The 23352-nt window shown below is 52.3% G+C and overlaps 1 pseudogene across 1 annotated transcript, besides 1 other annotated feature; it reads right to left on the bottom strand.

Moving 5' to 3' along the window:
- Positions 1-3683: 3683 nt before the first annotated feature.
- LOC101929578 (transcription factor CP2-like) lies at positions 3684-11718 on the bottom strand (annotated as a pseudogene). Its single transcript, NR_164152.1, has 10 exons — positions 11575-11718; positions 10941-11092; positions 10733-10801; positions 9374-9480; positions 6156-6287; positions 5478-5583; positions 4934-5031; positions 4651-4705; positions 4305-4398; positions 3684-3912 (listed from the first exon to the last, which is right to left on the bottom strand). The product of NR_164152.1 is annotated as a transcription factor CP2-like (transcript).
- Positions 4560-5134: an enhancer, noted in NCBI's record as "H3K4me1 hESC enhancer chr17:37400607-37401181 (GRCh37/hg19 assembly coordinates)". NCBI's record gives its function as "activates a minimal SCP1, AML or CMV promoter by ChIP-STARR-seq in naive H9 embryonic stem cells {active_cell/tissue: H9 hESC(naive)}" and the evidence as "EXISTENCE:reporter gene assay evidence [ECO:0000049][PMID:30033119]".

Raw genomic sequence — 23352 nt, 5'->3', positions numbered from 1 at the left:
ACATTAAATGTTCAACACATTGGACAACACATTAAGTGTATATACCTTTTAAAAATTAACTTTTAATTTAAAAAGGGCTTAAAATTTTTAAATGAATTAACACTCTCAGTGATCACCAGCCAACACTGCTCATGGCAAAAGCTCTTTCCACATTGCCAGTTTTTTTTTTTTTTTTTTTGCCTCATAAACTTGGCCAGCTCAGAAGAACGAATGGGTAAGGAAGACTTCCAACAGCCATTGCTGCTGACCAGAAAGAAAAGTGAAGCTGGAGGCTACTTGCCTCCTCTCGGGGTGAGATGCAAGATACTTTGGCTCACCTGGAGCCTGTTGAGTCAGCCAAGTGTTTTAACAAGGTTTCTGGTGAAGACAAGCTATCAGTCTCTTGAGCAGTGGAGTTCCCCTGGCCTAGGTCAGAACCAAGTAGTAGCCATCTGGATTCTGCACCGAAAGCAGTAAAAAGGCACCAGCAGGACCAGTCAGGTCCTCACCCTCCAAGCAGCCTACAATGCGTCTGGCACACCCAAGTGTTTTTTTGTTTTATTTCTTTTTTTGAGGTGAAGTTTCGCTCGTCACCCAGGCTGGAGTGCAGTAGCACGATAGTTCACTGCAACCTCCACCTCCCGGGTTCCAGCGATTCTCCTGCCTCAGCCTCCCGAGGAGCTGGGATTACAAGTGCCCGCCACCACGCCTGGCTAATTTTTGTATTTTTAGTAGAGATGGGGTTCCACCATTTTGGCCAGGCTGGTCTTGAACTCCTGACCTCATGATCTGCCCACCTCGGCCTCCCAAAGTGCTGGGGTTACAGGTGTGAGCCACCACGCCCGGCCACACGTGTCTTAAAACCCGACTTCACATCTACCTCTTCCTACCCCCTTGTGTACATAAGCCAAGCTGACCAGCTCTGGCATGTGGAGGGGTGGAAGGCAAACATCTGAATAACCAGATGCCAAGCAGACTAGTCAGAGGTGCCCTATGCCAGATGATGTCCAGGAAGCACCTGCCCTTCTGCCTTGTATCATGCCAGGGGCAGGTGGAGAAAAGTGGGGGCCTTACCTTTCCCTCTAATAAACTCCCTGACAACAGAAACTGGAGCATTTTTTATTTAATGAGGATGCATTTATTCAGTCATGTTTTTCCTAAGCAATAAATATCTTTTAGCTATACAAATCCCTCTCCCCTTGACACAAAGCTGGCATTCACAGGTGTTTGCTAGTTAATTGGGACACATCCCCTTAATCCCCTTCAAAGAGGTTTTTTGTTTGTTTGTTTGTTTTTGAGACGTTTGAGACAGACTCGCTCTGTCACCCAGGCTGGAGTGCAGTGGGGCAATCTCGGTTCACTGCAACCTCTGCCTCCTGGGTTCAAGGGATTCTCCTGCCTCAGCCTCCCAAGTAGCTGGGACCACGGGCACGTGCCAGCACGCCCGGGTAGTTTTTTGTATTTTTTATAGAGATGGGGTTTTGCCATGTTGGCCAGGCTGGTTTTGAATTCCTGTCCTCAAGTGATCCACCTGCCTCAGCCTCCCAAAGTGCTGGGATTACAGGCATGAGCCACTGCGCCTGGCCCCCAAAGAGCCTTTTAGTCTCATTTAGGAGACGGAATATATGCTCAGCACACTCTTATCCCCCTTTATAGGGCCAGCCAGGCACACTCCTCTGCCTCTAAAATCCCTTTTTTCACCACAGCCACAAAGTATGATTCGTCCTTAAAATTCTGGACCACCTGTAAGAGTGAAGCGGGCACAAAGGCAATTTTGTTATTGGAGCCAAAGAGAACAAGCCATGCCATGGAAAAGAAAGCTTAATCTGAGGCAGAAGTGTTAGCGAGGCCTCCGTGGGGATTTGCGACAGGAAATGGCTGCCCTTTATCTGGTCACTGAGGAGAATGAAGATGCCCCCGGTGCCCTGGTGGAAAAGGTGATGGATCTGATTGGCTGGGATGGCCAGAGCTCAGCCAGTTTCCCCATCAGCTCTACAGCACTGAGTTCATCCAGAGAGATCTCTTGATAAAAGTCTGGGGGCATGGGCAACACAGAGGCAGGGGTCAGCAGGGGAAGGGAGTCCAGAGATGTGCCCACAGGAAACCAGGGGTGCCAGGAAGATGGCTATGGGGTGGGGGGAGGAGAAGTAAAGAGGGAAAAGTTGGCTGGGTGTGGTGGCTCATGCCTGTAATCCCAGCACTTTGGGAGGCCGAGGGGTGGATCACGAGGTCAGGAGTTCAAGACCAGCCTGGCCAAGATGGTGAAACCCCATCTCTACTAAAAACTACAAAAATTAGCTGGGCATGGTGGCAGGCTCCTGTAATCCCAACTACTTGGGAGGCTGAGGCAGGAGAATCTCTTGAACCTGGGTGGCAGAAGTTGCAGTGAGCTGAGATCGCGCCACTGCACTCCAGCCTGGGCAACAGAGTGAGACTCCGTCTCAAAAAAAAAAAAAAAAGAAAAAAGTCTACTTCACCTCTCATCCCTCATCTTTTGGGAGGTGTCTGAGGGGAACCCCCAGTTTAAAGACAGGACACCCACATATTAGTGACTGGGACCCAAGTACATAACAAGATGATGTTCTAATCCCATATGCTAATGCAGTGACGATCAGGTGGGGTGGAGGAGTAGAACATGGTGAATAAACCCAAGGAGACATTCTGGAAGGAGAGGGACTAATCTGGTCATGGAAGGTAGGGAAATGCCAAGAAGGGCATCCTGGGTCCCAGGAATGGTGGGGTATCACCATTCCTCTTCTAGGGAGAGGTTTCATGCAGCTACACCTGAATTTCCTATGTTCTGGAGAGAGAGGCCAGAACCTCACCTGAGTCAGGGTTCTTAGGAACCTCGTTCCCTTGCCTAGAGGTCTCCTGAGCCACATACAAAGTCAGTTGGTGACAGATGGGCCTGGGCCAGGAAAACAGTCTATGTATCAGTCTTATACCTGAACTAACAGCTCCCACTTCTAGCCCCCATCCTAGGAGAGATCCCAGCCTCCTCCCAGGTCTCGAGGGAGGGAGGTCACTAAGTAGTTCTTAGGTATTTAACGAATGCTGGACACTAGGGGGAGAAAAAATGGGGAGGAAAAAACCCCACAGACATCTCTATCCCCAGAAATGGAATGAGGCAGGTGGGATGGCCACAGAAGGAGGTCACAGGAGCCTAGCTTTTCACCCCAGCCCTGCCAGCTTTGGGTTGTGACCTCAGACTGGTCACTGTCCTTCTTGGGCCTGAGTTTCTTCTGTAAAAAGAGGGAGTGGGACTAAGTGGTCTTTAAGGTGACTTCTGGCTTAAACATTGTATGAGCCGGGTGCAGTGGCTCACTCCTGTAATCCCAGCACTTTGGGAGGCCAAAGCAGGTGGATCACCTGAGGTCAGGAGTTCAAGACCAGCCTGACGAACGTGGTGAAACCCCGTCTCTACTAAAAATACAAAAAATTAGACGGGCGCGGTGGCAGGCGCCTGTAGTCCCAGCTACTCGGGAGGCTGAGGCAGGAAAATGGCGTGAACCCAGGAGGCGGAGCTTGCAGTGAGCCGAGATAGTGCCACTGCAGTCCGGCCTGGGCAAAAGACTCCGTCTCAAAAAAAAAAAAAAAAAAAAAATTGGCCAGGCATGGTGGCAGACGCCTGTAATCCCAGCTACTCAGGAGGCTGAGGCAGGATAATCACTTGAACCTGAGGCAGAGGTTGCAGTGAGCCAAGATTGCGCCATTGCATTCCAGCCTGGGCAACAAGAGTGAAACTCCATATTAAAAAAAAAATTGTATGAAACATACCTGCTAGCTAAGTTAGTAAGGGCCACTACAGTGGGAAGGGGACCCTGGTTGGCAGTGTCCAGCACCTGGCTCTAAGAGTATTGAAAAGGCGGATCCCATCAGCAGCCCCGCAGATTTGGATAAGGTCCTGGCATGTAAGCTTCAGCAGATCCAGACCTGTAGAGTCAGACAGGGCCAGACTGAGGAAAGAGGCCTGGGATCAAGGGTGGGAAGTAAGGGACACAGTCTATTAGTCTACAAATAGCCCTAGTGTGCTCAGATATGGGAGTCAGGCTTGGATTTAAATGCCAGTTCTGCCACTTGTTAGCTGTGTGTCCTTGGGCAAGTTATTTAACCTCTCTGGGCACTGTCCTCAAGGAATAGTGTATAAATTATATGGGATAATTCGTGAGACGAGAGCCTAGCACAATGCTGGGCAACTCTTAGTCCCCAGTAAATGTTAGTTGAAGGGCCCACAACAAGCCAGGACAGAGACAGGCTTCCTGCCTGTGTGTCCCACCCACTCTCAGTCCCCTACAGGTCTGGCTCCTGCCAGACACTAGCCTCACCAGTGAAGTTGGCCAGCATCCGGCAGTAGCTGGAGAACCAGTGCTGATGCAACCATTGCTGTGTCTCTGAGATGGGGGCTTTTTGGTTCAGATCCTGAGGTATAAAATGGATGGTCCAGGTAATACCAGGACCCAGGGACAGAACAAGAAAGGGAAACAGCCCCTCCCTTGGGAGGTCCCAAGTCTGAGAAGGGAGGCTCTTCCTGCCCAGTCTTATCAGGTAAGTTACAATCTATGGCCATATCACATCTGGCCACCAGGGGGCAGGGCCACTCCATTCTGGAGCTTGAGATGAAGCTGCGGAGAAGGCTTTGGGACAGTGGAGAGTGGGAAGGGGAAGGCTCACCTCAACTGGGCTACACCCCAAGGTATCCAGAGCGAATGGTGGTGAGGAACAGAGCCTATGAGGAGGAGCAAAGGTTCAAGAACTCTGCGGAGCATTACAGCCAGTCTCCCTCCACCAACACCCTTCCTCCAGGCCTGCCCTGGGACACAGAGCTTGCTCCTGTCCTCACCCCACAAATTCCCCACCAATCCCCAGCCCTGCCCTTTGCTCCATGCCTGGGCTGGGAGCTCTTTTCTTCACTCTCACCCCAAAGGGCTGACAGGAGGTGCTCATCCTGCCTCACCTTTCTGGGGACAAGAGCCTGCAGGAGTGGGGAGAGGTCAGAGCCAGAGAGCTGAGAGGTGGCCGGGGCCTTGCAGGGGACTCCGGCCATGGCGAACACTGCAGGCAAACACACAGCAAGGCTGGTCATTGCTCCCTTCTCTCCACCTGTATATTAAGAGCTGACCAGGGGCCTGACAAGTGGACTGGGTTTCCACAGGAAGGAAGAAGTTAACCACCCGGCGGGCCTGGGGCAGTGAGGAAGGGCCTTGGAGGAGCTGGCCAGGAGGAGCAGCAGGAGGAGGAGGGGGCCAGGCAGAGGGAGCACACAAGGAAGGAGGTGGCGATGGCCCGCGTAGGACAGGCAGCCTGGAGGGCGTCAGCTCCTGGAAGCTTCAACAACCACAGACAGGGCAGAGAGTGTCCTTTGCAGGAAGTGGTGGAGTCCCCAGGGGGCTGTGATGGGCTTGCAGCAGTCAGAGCCCTGGAGGCCTCCATTTCCCCATCTGTACCGTGAGGATCTTTTCTCCAACTCTCCCCTCCTGCTCTCGCCCCAACACACACACCTCCAAGAAGACAGTGCTCTCGCAGGCGGTCTGATACTTGTCCCTCTCATGCAGGGGCTGTTTCTCCATCTTCTCACGGTCCATTTTCAGTTTCCGCTCCTTTGTGCTGCAGGAGGATGATGAGGAAAGCCTCAGGCTCCTTTCTTTTCTTTTTTTTTTTTTTTTTTTTTTTGAGCTGCAGTCTCGCTCCGTTGTGCAGGTTAGAGTGCAGTGGCGCGATCTCAGCTCACCGCAACCTCCGCCTCCTGAGTTCAAGCGATTCTCCTGCCTCAGCCTCCCGAGTAGCTGGGATTACAGGCTCGTGCCACCACGCCCGGCTAATTTTTGTATTTTTAGTAGAGATGGGGTTTCACCCTATTGGCCAGGCTTGTCTCGACCTCTTGACCTTGTGATCCACCTACCTCAGCCTCCCAAAGTGCTGGGATTACAGGCGTGAGCCACCGCGCCCGGCCCAAAGACTCTTTCTTTACCTGCCTGCCTCTCTTCAGTGGCTCTGTTGGATTGGCTGTGAGACAGAGACCAAGCCCCATCCCTCTGTGTACAGAAAAGGAAACAGTCCAAGAGATGGGGCACAGCAGGCTGAGGATCCACAGCAACGTGGGGCCAGAACCCACACAGCCGGCGAGGCCAGGTGACAGCCCTGAGAGAGAGGAAAATGGGCCCCATTGCTGCCTGTACCTTAAACACCTTGATGAGGCAGCCAGCTGAGTGCAGGTGGTCTAGCGGCAGCCCCTTGTCACTGGGCCTGAAGGTGTCGATCTGGAGGCGGAAAGGGATGCCTTTCTCTCCACCTTTCTTCCGAGGTGTGAACTGAGATGGAGAAGAAACAGAGAAAACAGGGCGACTCCAGATCCACCCACATGCAAGGGAGTCCACCCAAAACCCGTTACCCGCCTGCCACCTGTCAGCCACATACTACGACAGCAACTTTCCATCCCCAACCAGTGTCCATTCTATTTTATTTTTTGAGACGGGGTCTTGCTCTGTCACCCAGGCTGGAGTGCAATGGTGTGATCTTGGCTCACTGCAACCTCCGCCTCTCAGGTTCAAGCGATTCTCTTGCCTCAGCCTCTGGAATAGCTGGGACTACCGGCGCATGCCACCATGCCCAGCTAATTTTTGTATTTTTAGTAGAGATGGGGGTTTCATCATGTTGGCCAGGCTGGTCTCAAACTCATGACCTCAAGTGATCCCCCCGCCTCGGCCTCCCAAAGTGCTGGGATTACTGTCATGAACCATAGCTCCCGGCCAAGCTTCCATTCTTTTTTTTTTGCCCAGGCTGGAGTGCAATGGCGTGATCTCGGCTCACAGCAACCTCTACCTCCCGGGTTCAAGCAATTCTCCTGCCTCAGTCTCCCGAGTAGCTGGGATTACAGGCATGTGCCACCACACCCAGCTAATTTTGTATTTTTAGTAGAGACGGTTTCTCCATGTTGGTCAGGCTGGTTCACTGCAAGCTCCGCCTCCCAAGTTCACACCATTCTCCAGCCTCGGCCTCCCAAGTAGCTGGGACTACAGGCGCCCACCACTACGCCCGGCTAATTTTTTGTATTTTTAGTAGAGACGGAGTTTCACCGTGTTAGCCAGGATGGTCTTGATCTCCTGACCTTGTGTCGTGATCCACCCGCCTCGGCCTCCCAAAGTGCTGGGATTACAGGCGTGAGCCAGCGCACCCGGCCCCAAGTTTCCATTCTTAAAGCATCACTTTACTACGTTCTTTCCCTTGGTCAAAATCCTTCAATGGCTCCCCATGGTTGTGAGACCAGAAGCAAAGTTCCTAACCCTGGTATTGGATCACCTTAAAGAGTCAAGTCAAGCATTGCTGCACGGCTGCTCTTTCTCATCCGTCAGTGAACCCACTGACCCACCCTGCCTCCCTAATCAGGACCCCAACACACCTGCAGTTTTCCCCAGAGGCCTCTACCCAGAAAGCTCCCCTACTCACATCTGAGCTAAGACATCCCCTTCAAGGGTAGTTGAGCGGCCAGATAAAATACAGGATGCCTAGTAAAGTTTGAATCTCAGATGAACAACAAATAATTTTTAGTGTAAGTGTATCTCAACTATTGCATGGAATATACTTATACTAAAAAAATTTTTTTTTTCTTTTTTTTTTTGAGACGGAGTCTCCCTCTGTCGCCCAGGCTGGAGTGCAGTGGTGCAATCTCGGCTCACTGCAAGCTCTGCCTCCTGGGTTCAAGAGACTTTGTTTTAAAAAACATTTAAAATTTAAATTTGGCTGGTGTGGTGGCTCACACCTATAATCCCAGCACACAGCAGGAGACAGAGGCAAGAGGATCGCTTTGGGCCGGGAGTTTGAGGCCAGCCTGGGCAACAGAGTGAGACCTCACCTCTACAAAAAAATTTAAGAATTAGCTGGGCCTAGTGGCACATGCCTATAGTCCCAGTTACTCGGGAGGCTGAGGCAGGAGGATTGCCTATACCCAGGAGTTCCAGGCTGCAGTGAGCTATGATTGCATCACTGTACTCCAGTCTAGGTGACAGAGTGAGACCCTCTCTATATAAAAAAAACAATAATTTAAAATAATAATGCTGGGTGCAGTGGCTCACGCCTGTAATCCCAGCACTTTGGGAGGCTGAGGCGGGCAGTTCACTTGAGGTCAGGAGTTCAAGACCAGCCTGGCCAACATGATAAGACCCCCCATCTCTCTACTAAAATACAAAAATTAGCTGGGTATGGTGGCATGCTCCTGTAATCCCAGCTACTTGGGAGGCTGAGGCAGGAGAATCACTTGAAACTGGGAGACAGAGGTTGCAGTGAGTTGGGATCACACCACTGTACTCCAGCCTGGGCAACAAAGCAACACTCTGTTTCAAAATAAATAAATAAAATGGGGAACAGTGGCTCATGCCTGTAATCCCAGAACTTTGGGAGGTTGAGGCAGGAGAATCACCTGAGGTCAGGAGTTTGAGACCAGCCTGGCCAACATGGTGAAACCCTGTCTCTACTAAAAATACAAAAATTATCTGGGCATGGTGGCCTGTGCTGTAATCCCAGCTACTCAGGAGGCTGAGACAGGAGAATCACCTGAACCTGGGAGGCAGAGGTTGCAGCAGTGAGCCCAGACCGCGCCATTGCACTCCAGCCTGGGCGACTCTGTCTCAAAAATAAATAAATAAATATAAATAAAAATAAAGTAAAATTCAAATTTGAGCATCCTATATTTTATTTGCTAAATCTGCCAATCCACTCCAGGAAGCCTTTCAGGCCTGCCACCCCGAGCAGCCTGCAGCCTCTGTGTTTGGCCTGGCACCAGGATTCTAAGGGTAAGCAGCATCTTCTCTCTTCACACCCAGTACTCACAGTAGCCTGCCCATAATCCCGTGAAAAACAGTGAAAGAGTCCAACTTTAGAGTGAGGAAACTAAGGCTCACAGAGGCTACAGGACCTGGGTAAGATCCATGCTAAGAAGTGGTAAGGCAGGCACGGTGGGTCAGTCTTGTAATCCCAGCACTTTGGGAGGCTGAGGTGGGTGGATCACCTGAGGTTGAGAGTTCAAGACCAGCCTGACCAACATGGAGAAACCCTGTCTCTACTAAAAATACAAAATTAGACGGGCATGATGGCGCATGCCTGTAATCCCAGCTACTCAGGAGGCTGAGGTAGGAGAATTGCTTGAAGCGGGGAGGTGGAGGTTGTGGTGCGCCGAGATCATGCCATTGCGCTTCAGCCTGGGCAACAAGAGTGAAACTCCATCTCAAAAAAAAAAAAAAAAAAAGCAAAGAAAAAATATATATCCTTTTTTTTCGCACCTGGCCGAGAGTCATTCTTATTTTCCCCTCACCCCTGCCCAAACTCACCTTCCTTTTCCACCTACACGGTTGCCACCCCCTTCTGACCTCCAGCCTTTTCCCAGGCCCAGCTTCAGGCTCACCTGCAGGAAGAGAGATGTCCTCTTTGTTGGGTCCCAGTGAAACTCCACCATGTTGAGTTGTGAGAGCAGCACTTGGGGTTCTATCACTCCCACGGACAGTGGCACATCTGCAGGCACAGGGTGGCAAGCAGGGAGCCAGGCTCAGCCTTCCCAGTCCACAAGGACTCCTGAGCCAGAGCTCAGGCTCGAAGGGCCCCCGGCCTTTCCCCACTCATCGATGTCCAGGATGCGGTCCCTGGGCCCGGCTCCACCTCCACCCAGCCAGCTGCCGCTGCTGCTCTGTGTACTGCAGGTGCGGGTCGTGGAACATCACCTGCACCACACTCTGCAGCCACAGGAGGGCGTGGCGCACAGTCAGAGGACGCCAGCATTGAGGACCCAGTTTTCACACCTGTGTAGGCTGACCTTCCCACACCTCCCTTCCTACCCCAGGAGGCATTAGGACTTAGAATCACCAATGCGTGTTCAAATGCCCATCTGCCACTCACGACTGTGAACCAGAGAAGTAATCTAGAGACCCTGAGCCTCAGTTTCCTCATCTGTAAAAAGGGGGAGTTAATGCCTTCCCACCCTAGGCACGCCACCCATTTCTTTGCAACATGTCACTGTTGGTCATTTCACAGAATATGTGTAATTACTTGTTTGTCTTAGTAGAATGCAAGCCTCCTGAGGAAGGGAGCCACATCTGTCTCATTACTGATGAATCCCTAGCTCATGGAACATTTTCTGGCATAGAATGGGGGCTAAATAGGTAATTTTTTGAGAAAAGGTCATGTGTGTGAATAACACTGTGTAAATATATTTCTAATTTTATTTTTATTATTATTATTTTTTTGAGACAGAGTCTGCTTTGTTGCTCAGGCTGGAGTGTAGTGGTGCGATCTTTGCTCACTGCACCCTCTGCTTCCTGGGTTCAAGCCATTCTCATGCCTCAGCCTCCCGAGTACCTGGGATTACAGGTGTGCACCACCATGCCCAGGTAATTTTTGCATTTTTAGTAGAGACGGGGTTTCACCATGGCTGGTCTTGAACTCCTGACCTCAGGTGATGCGCCCGCCTCAGCCTCCCAAAGTGCTGGGATTACAGGCGTGAGCCACTGTGGCCAGCCTACACTGTGTAAATGTGTTTCTAAATCTCAGTTCTGCTACTTGCTGGCTCTGTGTCCTTGAGAAAACACTTAACTTCTCTGTGCCTGTTTCTTCAATTCTTGCCCACCACGGAGCTGTTGTGAGGGTCCAATTAAATGACGGACGTGAGAGGGTTCTCCGTGACGATGATATCACTGTGATGACATTGGCTTCTTGCCCAGAGAAACAGTCATACCCAGCCTTTGCCACTTCCGGGGAGGAGTGTACCCACCTTCAGCAGCTGGGGGCACTGGGTGGCATCACACGGCTTGGAGCTGCAGAGCATCCGGACCTCATAGGACTGGCGTGGGAGGGATTAAGGGGTTGCGTGAGCCCCACTCTGAGGGGCAGAGTGGCACCTACCACCTCCAGCTCACCCTGAGCCCAGCTTCCCGAGCTCACTGCCCACTAGCTCCTCCCCTCTCCCAGGCCTAGCATACCCTGGTTCAGGTAGGTGAGGGTCTCCTCCTGCTGCTTCACGGCTGGCGAGGTGGCTGCACAGAGCACGTACTAGAACATGGGGCAGGGCAGCTCCGTGCCAGGGATGTTGGGCAGCTCCTCCTGCTTCAAGTAGGGCAAGGGCAGGGGCTCCCTGCCAGGAAGAGGAGGGCTCTGCCAGCTTTCTGCCCTGTCCATCCCCTTTTCTAAAGGTCTTTGACTCTCTATGCCAGACCTTCCCTCTGGGGAACCCACAGTTTCCTGTAGCAGGTCCCCAAGCTGCAGCCAGGGCCAAAGGGACCCCCATTCAGCTCCTCAGGCCTCCAGGAGGCCTCCCTGAAGGTGCTGATCTCAGATTTGTGGCTGTTCTACTCAACAGCTGCCATCAATTACTTGTCTTTGCAACCTCAAAGCTTGCCTGATACTGAGTAAATTCCCAACAAAAATGTCCTAAGTGGGATCAGGGTGTTTTTGAGATGTCCCAGGACACACTGAACTCCAGGTACATTTGACCACTTCCCCATCTCCAGAGGAGCCCGGGAATGGGAGCCCCACTTCCCTCAGCTTGAAATGGATGATGTCCACTCCAACTTCAGACCAGCACTTTCCCCGGGACCTGGGGGATCCAGCCCTTACCTGAGCAGGCTGCTGGGGGGCCCAGGGTATAGGTCCCCAGGACTGGGCCATAGATGCTCCGGCTGGTTGTGCCAAAACAGCATCTTGGAGAGGGGGCAGGGCCGGCTGTGAAACAGCTCAGCGTGGGGTTGGGCTGCACCCACTGGCCCCTCACCTGGGGCCTCTACCTTTATACACAGAAGCACACCCGCAAAAGGGTGGGGCGGGGCCTGGGCCTCTTATTGGCTGAGCACCCAGGGCTCTAGCACACTCCGGACCTGTGGGGGCAGCCCAGGTTGGGGGGAATCAAGATCTGGGTCCCAAGGGCTCCCCAGCAATCATTAACTTGAAGGGGAGGGTACAGCAAAACAAAGTCACAAGGATGGATGTCCAGTCCTCTACTGGTCCCCAAGAGGCCCAGGGGCAATGAGGGGCACCCTCAGGTTTCAAGATTGGCCCCAGATCCATAAGCCACACAGAATCCTGGAGACCCCTGGGATCGGCCCCTCCCCTGACGCCACGGGAGAAGCCTGTCCACTCTAGGGGACAGGACAGGCAGACACAGCGTCACAGGGACCTGCAAAAGGGCCTCTGATGCCCACTGCCCTCCCTCCCTCCTCTGCCTGACCACACACACACACACACACACACACACATACGCACACATGCACTGGTGGCAGGACACCTGTCCTTTAGCTGGGGGCTACCTAGCTAGGGGACTGGAGTTTACAGAACACAGCCCAGCTTGTTGTGGAAACACTCCAGGGGGTGGCGCTTCCAGGAGAGGGAGGTTTGCCCAGGAGGGCTCCCCATTAGAGCAGCCCAGGAGCTCCAGTGGGGCTGGTCCTTTTGCCCCTTCCTTGCCCTGGGGCTTGGAGCAGGCCATGTTTATGGACAAATACAGTCAGCCTGTGGGTGGGCCTTTTTCTCCACACTGGGCACATGTTGTCACTGTACACAGACAGCCCCAGCCCCCTGCCCACCTCCTACTACTGTGTTTGATATAAACAGAACTAGGGCAGAGAGCAGAGATGGGGTACTAAAATGTGGCTGACTCATGGGACTCTAGCTACCCAGGCTCCCAGATTCTGAGGGGCCTGCCTGGGGGGCGGCAGAGCCAAAGAGATGCCTGTCCCCTGCTCTGCCACCTGCATCTCCAGGCACCTGGCACTTGGTCCCACGGGCTTTCTTCCCCCAGGAGTCTGGATGGAATCCAAGTGGGGAGGATGGGGGAGCAGGGTGATGGAGGCATTCCTGCTGCTAGGGCCAAAGAAGCAGCCAGAGGCCCTGAGGTCCCCTCCATACATTATCCCCAAGGCTGTGAGGACCTACCCCACGCCCTGAGTTGGATTCCAGGCTGGGAGGCACCCTCAAGACCTTGGGGAGGGCAGAGCAGGATCCCAGGAAGACGGGGAGAGGAGGGTAGGAGGGGTCCCTGTGTAGCTTGGTGCTGGCCTGGGGGGAGTCGTGCCTGTCTGAGCAGGGCTGGAGCCTTTTTCTACTCCAGCCAAAACATTTTGTTTTGTTTCCTATTCCCAGGCACCTTTCCAACCTGGAGAGCTGGAGAGTGAAGTTTGCCCCTCCCTCAAAGAAAGGATGGGCTGGGAGAGGAAGCTGTCTATTCATTCATTCATTCATTCAACAAACTGTTCTCGAGTGCCTACCGTATGCCAGGCTGTCTCTCAGGATACCTGGGTGGGTAGAATCCTGCCCTATCCAGAGCTCAGGCACCCCGTGCTCCCCGCATGCGGGTGGTCAAAAGGGCTGAGTCCTGAGTTCCAGGCAAAATTATGACGAAAGGGGTAGACTGGAGCACGTAGGATGTTTTTCGCTTACAGGACACACACACACACACACACACACACACACAGAGCTGACAATACCATATGGCAATCACTGTGTGGTCTGTGCATCTGTGCACACAAATGTCTCCACCCCAGAAGTGAGATGAAGGGTCCCCGTCCCAGCTAAATGTCCCTGGCACCTCCGGGTACAGTTTACAGGGCACCATCTGCCCTGAACAGCGCCCTCTGGAGTTAGACCGTGAGTAGGGCTGGCTCAAACCCTCAGTCTTTTCCACCTGAGGTCCTCTCTAGCACCACCTTAAGTCTCTCCTGGGGAAGACTCTTTGCTCACATTTCAGACTTGCTGCCTGCTTCTTAGCCCTTCCCACAGACCCTCCAGCTGACGCTCATGTTCTCCCCGTCTGTCTCTGGGCTTTGCAGTGCTCTACTAAGGTCCTTCATGGTAATTATCCAACGTGCAGTGAAGGTTTGCGTACTTTGTCTAATGTCTTTTTTCCCACCAGAGTGAAATCTCCCAGAGGGCAGGGACTAAGAGACGTGCACTAGTGTTGGGGTTAAGAGCACGTTTATTTTCTTTTCTTCCTTCTTTTTGTTTTTTTTTTTTTTTTTTGAGACCAAGTCTCACTCTGTCGCCCAGGCTGAAGTGCAGTGGCATGATCTCAGCTCACAGCAACCTCCGCCTCCCGGGTTCAAGCGATTCTTGTGCCTCAGCCTCCCGGGTAGCTGGGATTACAGGCACATGGACCACGCCCAGCTAATTTTTGTATTTTTAGTAGAGACAGAGTTTCACCATGTTGGCCGGGCTGGTCCCGAGCTCTTGACCTCAGGTGATCTGCCCGCCTTGGCCTCCCAAAGTGCTGGGATTACAGGCATGAGCCACTGCGCCCAGCCAGAGCATGTTTCTTGAGATGGACTCTGAGAGTTCAAGCCCAGCTGTGTGGCCTTGGGCAAGTGACTTAACCTTTCTGAGCCTCTTGTTGCAACTGCATAAGGGGGATGATGAGAGCTTTTACCCCAGAAGTAAAGACAATAATTGAGCCCTCAATAAATATTCCCCTTTACTCCATCGTTTCCCCAGGGCCTAGTACATCAAAGGTTTATTTAACACTTAAGGATATAGGTTTATTTGTATAACACTTCTAAGTATAGAGGGTCTGTTTCTTTTTCTTTCTTTCTTTTTTTTTTTTTGAGACAGAGTCTCGCTCTGTTACCCAGACTAGAGTGCAATGGTGTGATCTCAGTTCACTGCACCCTCCACCTTCTGGGTAAAACGATTCTTGTGCCTCAGCCTCCTGAATAGCTGGGACTACAGGCGCCCGCCACAATGCCTGGCTAATTTTTGTATTTTTAGTAGAAACAGGTTTTCACCATGTTGGTCAGGCTGGTCTTGAACTCCTGACCTTAGGTGATCCACCTGCCCTGGCCTCCCAAAGTGCAGGTGCTGGGATTACAGGTGTGAGCCACTATACCCAGCCAAGGGCCTGTTTCTTTTTTTCTTTTTTTTCTTTTTTTTTTTTTTGAGACGGAGTCTGGCTCTGCTGCACAGGCTGGAGTGCAGTGGCATGATCTCAGGTTCAAGCGATTCTCCTGCCTCAGCCTCCCCAGTACCTGGGATTATAGGCACTTGCCACCACACCTGGCTAATTTTTGTATTTTCAGTAGAGATGGGGTTTCACCATGTTGGTCAGGCTGGTCTCGAACTCCTGACCTCAGGTGATCTGCCTGCCTCGGCCTCCCTAAGTGCTGGGATTACAGGTGTGAGCCACTGCGCCCAGCCAGGTCTGTTTCTTTAGTAGGCTGTTCTTCAGTGCTCAGTGTGACTTCAGACTACTTTTCAAACTTTCTTACGTAGTAGATACTATTTTTTTTCTGTTACTCTATTATTGATCCCCATTCTATAGATGGGGAAACTGAGACTCAGAGAGGTTAGGTAGCTAGCCCAGGGTCACACAGCTAGGAGGAAACAGAGCCAGGATTTGAACCCAGGCCATCTGAGTCACAGTCCCTGCTCTTTTTTTTTTTTTTCTGAGGCAGAGTCTCACTCTGTTACCCAGGCTAGAGTGCAGTGGCGCGATCTCAGCTCACTGCAACCTCCACCTCCCGGGTTCACGCCATTCTCCTGCCTCAGCCTCCCGAGTAGCTGGGACTACAGGCACCTGCCACCATGCCCAGCTAATTTTTTGTATTTTTAGTAGAGACAGGGTTTCACCGTGTTAGCCAGGATGGTCTTGATCTCCTGACTTGTGATCCACCTGCCTTGGCCTCCCAAAGTGCTGGGATTACAGGCGTAATCCACCAAGCCTGGCTAGTCCCTGCTCTTAATTACTGCTCTATGCCCCACTCGTCAGGATACATATGTGTGGGCTTTTATTTATTTTTCTTAGAGACAGGGTCTCATTTTGTCTCCCAGGTTGGAGTGTAATGGCACGATCATGGCTCACTGCAGCCTCGACCTCCCACACTCAAGCAATCCTCCTACCTCAGACTCCCAAGTAGCTGGGACTATGTGCTTGAGCCACCATGCCTGGCTAACTACATTTTTTTTTTTTTTGAGTCTCACTCTGTCACCCAGGCTGAAGTGCAGTGGCGTGATCTCGGCTCACTGCAACCTCCACCTCCCGAGTTCAAGCAATTCTCCTGCCTCAGCCTCCCAAGTAGCTAGGATTACAGGCACGTGCCACCACACCTGGCTAATTTTTTATATTTTTAGTAGAGATGGGATTTCACCATATCGGCCAGGCTGATCTCAAACTCCCGACCTCATGATCTGCTGGCCTCAGCCTCCCAAAGTGCTAAGATTACAGGCATGAGCCACCGCGCCCGGCCCTACAAAATTTTTCTGTAGAGATGGGCTCTCACTATGTTGCCCAGTCTAGTCTCAAACTCCTTGTCTCAAGTGATCCTCCTACTTCGGCCTCCCGAAGTGCTACCATTACAGGCATAAGCCATGCCCAGCCTTTTAAAAACAAATATTGGGCCAGGCGAGGTGGCTCTTCCTATCTATTTTCACTGTGAAGGCTTTGGCCACCAGAAGGATACTAGGAGCCCACTACTTGGTCCTCTGTGTCTAGTATGCTGTCCTCGGGAGCCAGAGAGACTTCCCTAAGACACAGGAATTACCCAATTACTCCTCTATGGAGAACACTCCATGGCCTCCTGTTACCCTCAGTGCCATCCTCAAGCTGGGCTGTGGAGTCCCTGGGTAACTATGGGTCATATTCCAGGCTATCCATGGCACACAATGGTTAGTGCTAAAAATCATATTTTTGGTAGGAAAACTAACACAGATATTCTTGGAGTCAAATGCAAGGCTTGCACCAATGTTTAACATAGAGCCTTGTCTTTAAATCCCTCTCAAGTTTGGAGTGAACCACTTTGCTTGCTCCCCACTCCCCGCCCCGCCCCGCCCCCCACGGTATCTCTGAATTGCTCTTCAGGGCTCCAGTGAATGAGTTCGAGAAGCCCCTTTGTGCAGAGAAAACTAGCTTCCTGATCCAGCACTCAAGGCCGTTTGTTCACTTTTTCCTGCCTTTGGTGCTCACCATCTCTCTCCCTCTGGGCTTTCCAGTAGCTCCGGAACCGGCTGTTCTGTTTCACACCTCCAGCCTTTGCCTAGGCTGTTCCCTCTGCTTAGGATATTCTAGTCCCCTCTGCCTTCCAGTCCACTCGATGGCCCCCGTTAGCTCAGCTTGATGTGGCCCTCTGTATTACCCCTCTCTGGGTCAGAATCTACAGAAGGGCCTCGAATGCAGGTACTAGGTGCCCCCGGTGCTCAGGACCATTCCATACACTTGGTAGGACCTCATGGTTTAGATGGTCTCCGATGCAGACCCTCCAAGGCCCCGCCTGAACCCCTGGGCTGCCCCGGTGCTGCTTTCTGTGCAGTCTGCAGGGGGCAGTGTGGGCCCAGGCCAGCCGCAGGTCCCCAGGCTGCTTCAGCTGGGTCTAGACTCCCCCGCCACAGGATCTCTCCCCAGGCGTTAACCCCAAGGGAGCAGTTAAAGGCAGGCTCAATCTTTCTGCCTCGAAGTCTCCTCGGCATCACCACACTCACGCTTGTCCCACACAGTAAGCCATGGGCACCCTCACCGCTAACACCCAATCCAGCTGCGACCAGACTTCATCCTCCCTCCTTTCCATACGCTCTCAGCCACAGCCCCTCCCCAGCCTGCGTGGGGCCTCCTCTCCAGCAAAAGATCCTCCATGAAGAATTCGGGGGTCCACAGTGCTCATCTCTCCAAAATTCTAACCCTCAACCATGCCCCTCCTCCGCAGGGCTCCACCCCCTTGCTTACCCCAAAGTTATGCTCTTGCTGTTACCTTGGTAACAGATGCTTTGTGGGTGGGTAAGGGGAATAGACTAGAGGACAGGAGCAGTGGCTTCAGGACACTGTTGGAAGCACAGGGGTGGGGGCTCAGTGTAGACAAACTGGCACAGGGCTGGGGAGGGGCAGCCAAGGGCTAGGACGCCCCACCCCCACCCCACCATGGCTGCTGTCAGCCCCGTGTCCCCAGCCTCAAGGAGAAAAGAAACAGAACAGAAGAGGACGTGTTCCTCGAGAGAGGGGTTTTCTTCATTGAGGAAAAGGAAACAGCTATAACCTCATTATCCCTTCAGAACAACTCTCCCAGAGATCCTGGCTTTGTGGTAGGGAGAGGGGGCAGCAGGAGCGAGGGCGTGAGGGATTGCATACACAGAGCCCATGTTGTTCCCCTCCAGGAGGCCTGGGGTGCAGAGCGCGGGAACAGCTCACCCAGGGCGAGTTAGGGACAGTGCCACGGGCAGTGGGAGGGTGGCTCCATGCCAGTGTCCCAAGCTCCAGGGGCTGGAGGCAGCAGGGGGTGTGGGGGGGCCTTCTCCAGCCCCTGGGGACCTGGCTGTCCCAGATGCCACAGCCGGGAAGTATGTCAGGCACTTGCGTAAGAGCCTTCTGTATTTCCATAAAATCATAATTACCGCTGCCTGCCATGAGCCTTAGCTCATTAGAGTGGTATCTGCCTCTCGGGCCCCCAGGTGGGCTGGTGGGGGGAGGCAGGGGACGCTGGGGCAAGGCCAGGCCTCTCACTGTGGTCTCTGCATCCCTGGCCCTGCTGGGCTTGGACCCCCTTCCTTTCCCCAGCTGGGAGACAGGAACCCAGACTCAGCTCCCAACCACATTGGGCACCTCCACACTAGACACCCTGATTCTAAAGCTGCCGGGAAAGGCCAGTCACTTATGTTTTCTGTCCTGGGTGACCCATGGGGCAGAGGCCACAGATGCAAAGGGCTTGGACTGGAGGTGTTGATGCAAAGATCACCACCATGGGAGGAGAAGCAATTCCTCACATCAGAGAATCTCAGCCACTCAGAGAGGAGAGTCCCTGGGGGTCATATAGGCCAGTGGCTCTTAATCTTTTGGGGATCTCAGATGCCCTGAGGAGCAGCTGAAAGCTCAACTCTGCCCAGAAAATGTTTATTATCTTCCATAATTTTACACAGCTTCGAGTGGTTCATGAACTCCCTGAAGCTCACTCACAAGTCCAAGGTTAAAAATCCCCAATAATAATATTACTATTAATAATAATTAGTAGTAATTAATAGTAACTAATAATAACATGAGAATTAACAGGCTGAGTTCAGTGGAACATGCCTGTAGACCCAGTTACTTGGGAGGCTGAGGTGGGAGGATCACTTGAGCCAGGGAGGTAGAGGCTGCAGTGAGCCATGACTGTGCTACTGCACTCCAGCCTGGGCAGCAGTGTGAGACCTTGTCTCAAAATAAATAAATGAATAAAATAACATCCATTTACTGTGCATTTATTCTGTCCATCTCTTTATTTTTTTATTTTTATTTTTTGAGATTGAATTTCACCCTTGTTGCCCAGGTTGGAGTACAGTGGTGCAGTCTCGGCTCTCTGCAATCTCCGCCTCCCAGGTTCAAGCAATTCTCCTGCCTCAGCCTCCCGAATAGCTGGGATTACAGGTGCCCACCACCCCATCTGGCTAATTTTTTGTATTTTTAGTAGAGATGGGGTTTTGCCACGTTGGCCAGGCTGGTCTCAAACTCCTGACCTCAGGTGATCCACCCGCCTTGGCCTCCCCAAGTGCTGGGATTACAGGCATGAGCCACCTCACCCAACCTGTCCATCTCTTTACGTACATTAACTCATGTAATCCTCAAAAGAGTGCTAAGAGATGTATCATTATTGCCCTCATTTTAATCCAACTCCTCATTTCAAACTAATCTAATCCAATTCTGCCAGTCTGACAAGAAGGAAACTCAAGTACCTTTAGAGATAGACAGCTCTCTGCCCAAGGTCACAAAACAGGAAGCAAAAGGCAGAGCTGGGCTGAGGACTGGTCTCTCTTCATGTGCTAGACATTGTGCTGCATGCAGATTTGAAGTCATCCCTGTCCCAGGGCTCCCAAGAGCCCACTGCCCACTTTCCCAACAAGAGGCACCCCAGTAGTTCTATTGCCACTTCTGAGGGAGCCCTCCAGAGTGTGGCTGCCATTCATCCCCCCGGCAGCACCTGGCCCTCGCTCTGCCTGCCCCTCGTTTCTACCCTCCGAATCTGAGATGGGGCAATGCTCCTTCCTTCCCAGGAGAGGCTGGCCAGGCTGCTTCCGCCTCGTCTCTGATCCACTGCAGTGGGAGTTGTCAGTACTAAGAGCAATGACTCAGACTTAGTTCAGGAGAGACCGCTCTGAAACACAAAGGCTGCAGGCCAGGAAGGACATCGAGAGGTCATGGCATCCATCCCCCTGCCTCCGCCATGCTTGCCCCACCTCAGGCTTCTGATGTCCAGACTAGATGAGCCCCACAGTCCTCCAACTTCCCTGGCTTTCCTCGGTTGCCAGAACTACGGGTTCCCCTGGGAATTCTTCTCTGTATCTAGTTAGCATCTCTTTGTCCAGGAATCACCACTTCTGGGTTGGTTACCCCACAGAATACCAGGCTCCAAATGGCCAAGGAAAGTGAGAGAAGGAAGCGGTTTTCTTCTCTCTGCCTCAGAGAAAGCACTGGGAAGGGACAAATTTCCCAGAAGAAAGGAGGGAAAGAAAAATAATGGCCGGGCACGGTGGCTCACGCCTGTAATCCCAGCACTCTGGGAGGCTGAGGCGGTCAGATCATGAGGTCAGGAGATCAAGACCATCCTGACTAACACGGTGAAACCCCGTCTGTACTAAAAATATAAAAATTTAGCCGGGCGTGGTGGCAGGCGCCTGTAGTACCAGCTACTTGGGAGGCTGAGGCAGGAGAATGGCGTGAACCCGGGAGGCGGAGCTTGCAGTGAGCCGAGATTGCACCACTGCACTCCAGCCTGGGCGACAGAGCGAGACTCCGTCTCAAAAAAAAAAAAAAGAAAAATAATGGACTTTCCTTGACTAGACGTGGTGGCGTGTGCCTGTAATCCCAGCACTTTATCGGGGAGGCCAAGTCAGGAAGATGGCTTGAGGTCAGGAGTTCAAAATGAGGCTGGGCCAACAAAGTGAGACCCCCATCCCTACCAAAATAAACACTTTTTTTTTTAAAATAAATTTTCCTGTCTTGTCTTCCTGTCTTGTCTGGGCTAAGTGCCACTCTACACTATCTCATTCATTCTAGCAGTGGGGTAGGCACGATGACTATTTTTCAGATGAAGAAACCAAGGCTATAGGCCAGACACGGTGGCTCATGCCTGTAATCCCAGCACTTTGGGAGGGTGAGGCAGGTGGATCACCTGAGGTCAGGAGTTCCAGACCAGCCTGGCCAACATGGTGAAACCTCTCTCTACTAAAAATACAAAAAATTAGCTGGATGTAGTGGCGGGCACCTGTAATCCCACCTACTCGGGAGACTGAGGCATGAGAATCGCTTGAACCAGGAGGCGGAGGTTGTGGTAAGCCGAGGTCCTGCTATTGCACTCCAACTTGGGCAACAAAAGCTAGACTCCGTCTCAAAACAAACAAAATCTCTAAAAGATTGAGTTATCTGCCCAAGGTCACACACTTAATTAGTGACCAAAGAGGTACTGGCCCCTAAGGAACCCAAAGCCCCTGCTCTTTGGGAGGAGACAGGGGCACCTCCCCCAGAAGATCTCCAAACTCAGAAGAAGGCCCTGTGTGTTCCAGCCCAGGATAAGTGGAGGGCCTGATGTTGCTGTCTCAATGCTGCAAGCATCCCAGCATCTGAGCTGCCCAGGGAGGGAAGGCTGGACTGGCCTGGGCTGGGCAGGAGTGAGAAGGACAGTCCAGTGGGAGATGGGGGAAGGTTGGCCATGAACAGGCCTTTGGGGAGACTGATTTGATGGCACTCAGGCTCCATCCCACCTTCCTCAGGAAATCTCGAAGTCAGAGCCCCTACAACCATGAACCCTCACTGTGCCCTTGTCCTACTTCTGCCACTGGCAAATAAATCTCTATTCCTGGACAGGGTAACCTGAGCAGGGCTCCAATGGTGAGCTCGTGCTTGGGAGGGCAGAGATCCTATGAATGGCTGTGTGCATGGGGGGAGGTGAGTGGGGGGTGGAGGTGTTCACCCCACCCCTCAACTTTCAGGCTAGCATAAGGGCCCCCTTCAGCACCTCAGGCCCCCCATGTGGCACCCCCCACCCACAATCTTACCACCCACAGCAGAGGAGGAGGGAGACTTAAACCCAGAAGTCTCTCCACCCACACCAGGGAAAGGTTCTCTCAGCCACCAGTGCATCTCCCTTTTCTTGGGCAGACCAAGAGAGGAAGCCAGATCTGCTGGTCAGAGCCAGAAGGGGCAGAAGGAAAGAGGGCTGGAGGTGAGGGAGGGGGACCTGAGAAAATGGGTCCCAGATAATCAACATGCATTAGAAGAGGTATCTTGGTCAGGTGTGGTGGTTCACACCTGTAATCCCAGCACTTTGGGAGGCTGAGGCAGGAGGGTCACTTGAGCCTAGGAGTTTAAGACTAGCCTGGGCAACATAGCGAGACTCCATCTCTACAAAAAATTTTAAAATTAGCTGGGTGCAGTGGCATGTGCCTGTGGTCCCAGCTACTTGGGAGGGTTGAGCCCAGGAGGTCCAGGCTACAGTGAGGTGTGATCAAGCCACTGCACTACAGCCTGGCCAATAGAGCAAGATCCTGTCTCCAAAAAAAAAAAAAAAAAAAAAAAAAAAAAAAGAAGAAGAAGAGAAGGAGAAGAAGAAATATTGGAAATATCTTGAACGGGCACAGTGGCTCACGCCTGTAATCCCAATACGTTGGGAGGCCAAAGTGAGAAGATCGCTTGAGCCCAGGAGTTGGAGATCATCCTGTGTAACATAGCAAGACTTGTCTCTACCAATAAATTTTAAAAATTAGCCAGGCATGGTGGCGTATGCCTGTGGTCCCAGCAACTAGAGAGGCTGAGGTGGGAGGATTGCTTGAGCCTAGGAGTTTGAGACTGCAGTGAGTTATGATCGCACCACTGCACTCCAGCCTGGGTGAAAGAGTGAAACCCTGTCTCTAAATAAAAAAATAAAAAAATAAAAAATAGAAGGTTATTGTGGAGAGAGGGGCACCTTGGAAGGTGATGGTGAGGACCTCTTCCCCCACCTCTCTGTATTATCCCCTGATCTAACTCCAGTTGTGGTAGGATCTTTAGGAGGGGAGCGTGTCTCAGAGAAGTTTGGGGACTTTGGGTGTGAGGACTGAGCCCCCATCTCTGCTGAAGTTCAGACGCCAAGACTGGAAGGGGATAGAGTCATCCGGCTTTCCATCACAAGGAGGAATTGTCCGGCCTGGCCTTTGACACATACACCATAGTCCAGTTGTGTGTATATTTGGAGAGAGCCTTTTCAGGGTATAAAGGCATCCAATTAATGGCACAGATGGGTCCCCATTCTTCCTTCACCAACCTCTGGCATCTATCAATCTTCGCTCTTTGGAAGTCCTAGCTTCGATCTCACTCTCCGCTATCTTGCTGCGGCCCCAACCTATTTCTATTCCCTGCAACCCATCCAGACGCTACTATGATCTCCCCAAGCTTCCCTCAATCTGGTCACGCCCCTCCATCCCGGG

Source organism: Homo sapiens, chromosome 17 (genome assembly GCF_000001405.40).
Source record: "Homo sapiens chromosome 17, GRCh38.p14 Primary Assembly".
NCBI classification, from domain to species: Eukaryota; Metazoa; Chordata; class Mammalia; order Primates; family Hominidae; genus Homo; species Homo sapiens.
Note: the sequence above shows the minus strand (reverse complement) of the source record. Positions and strands in the feature narration are given on the sequence as shown.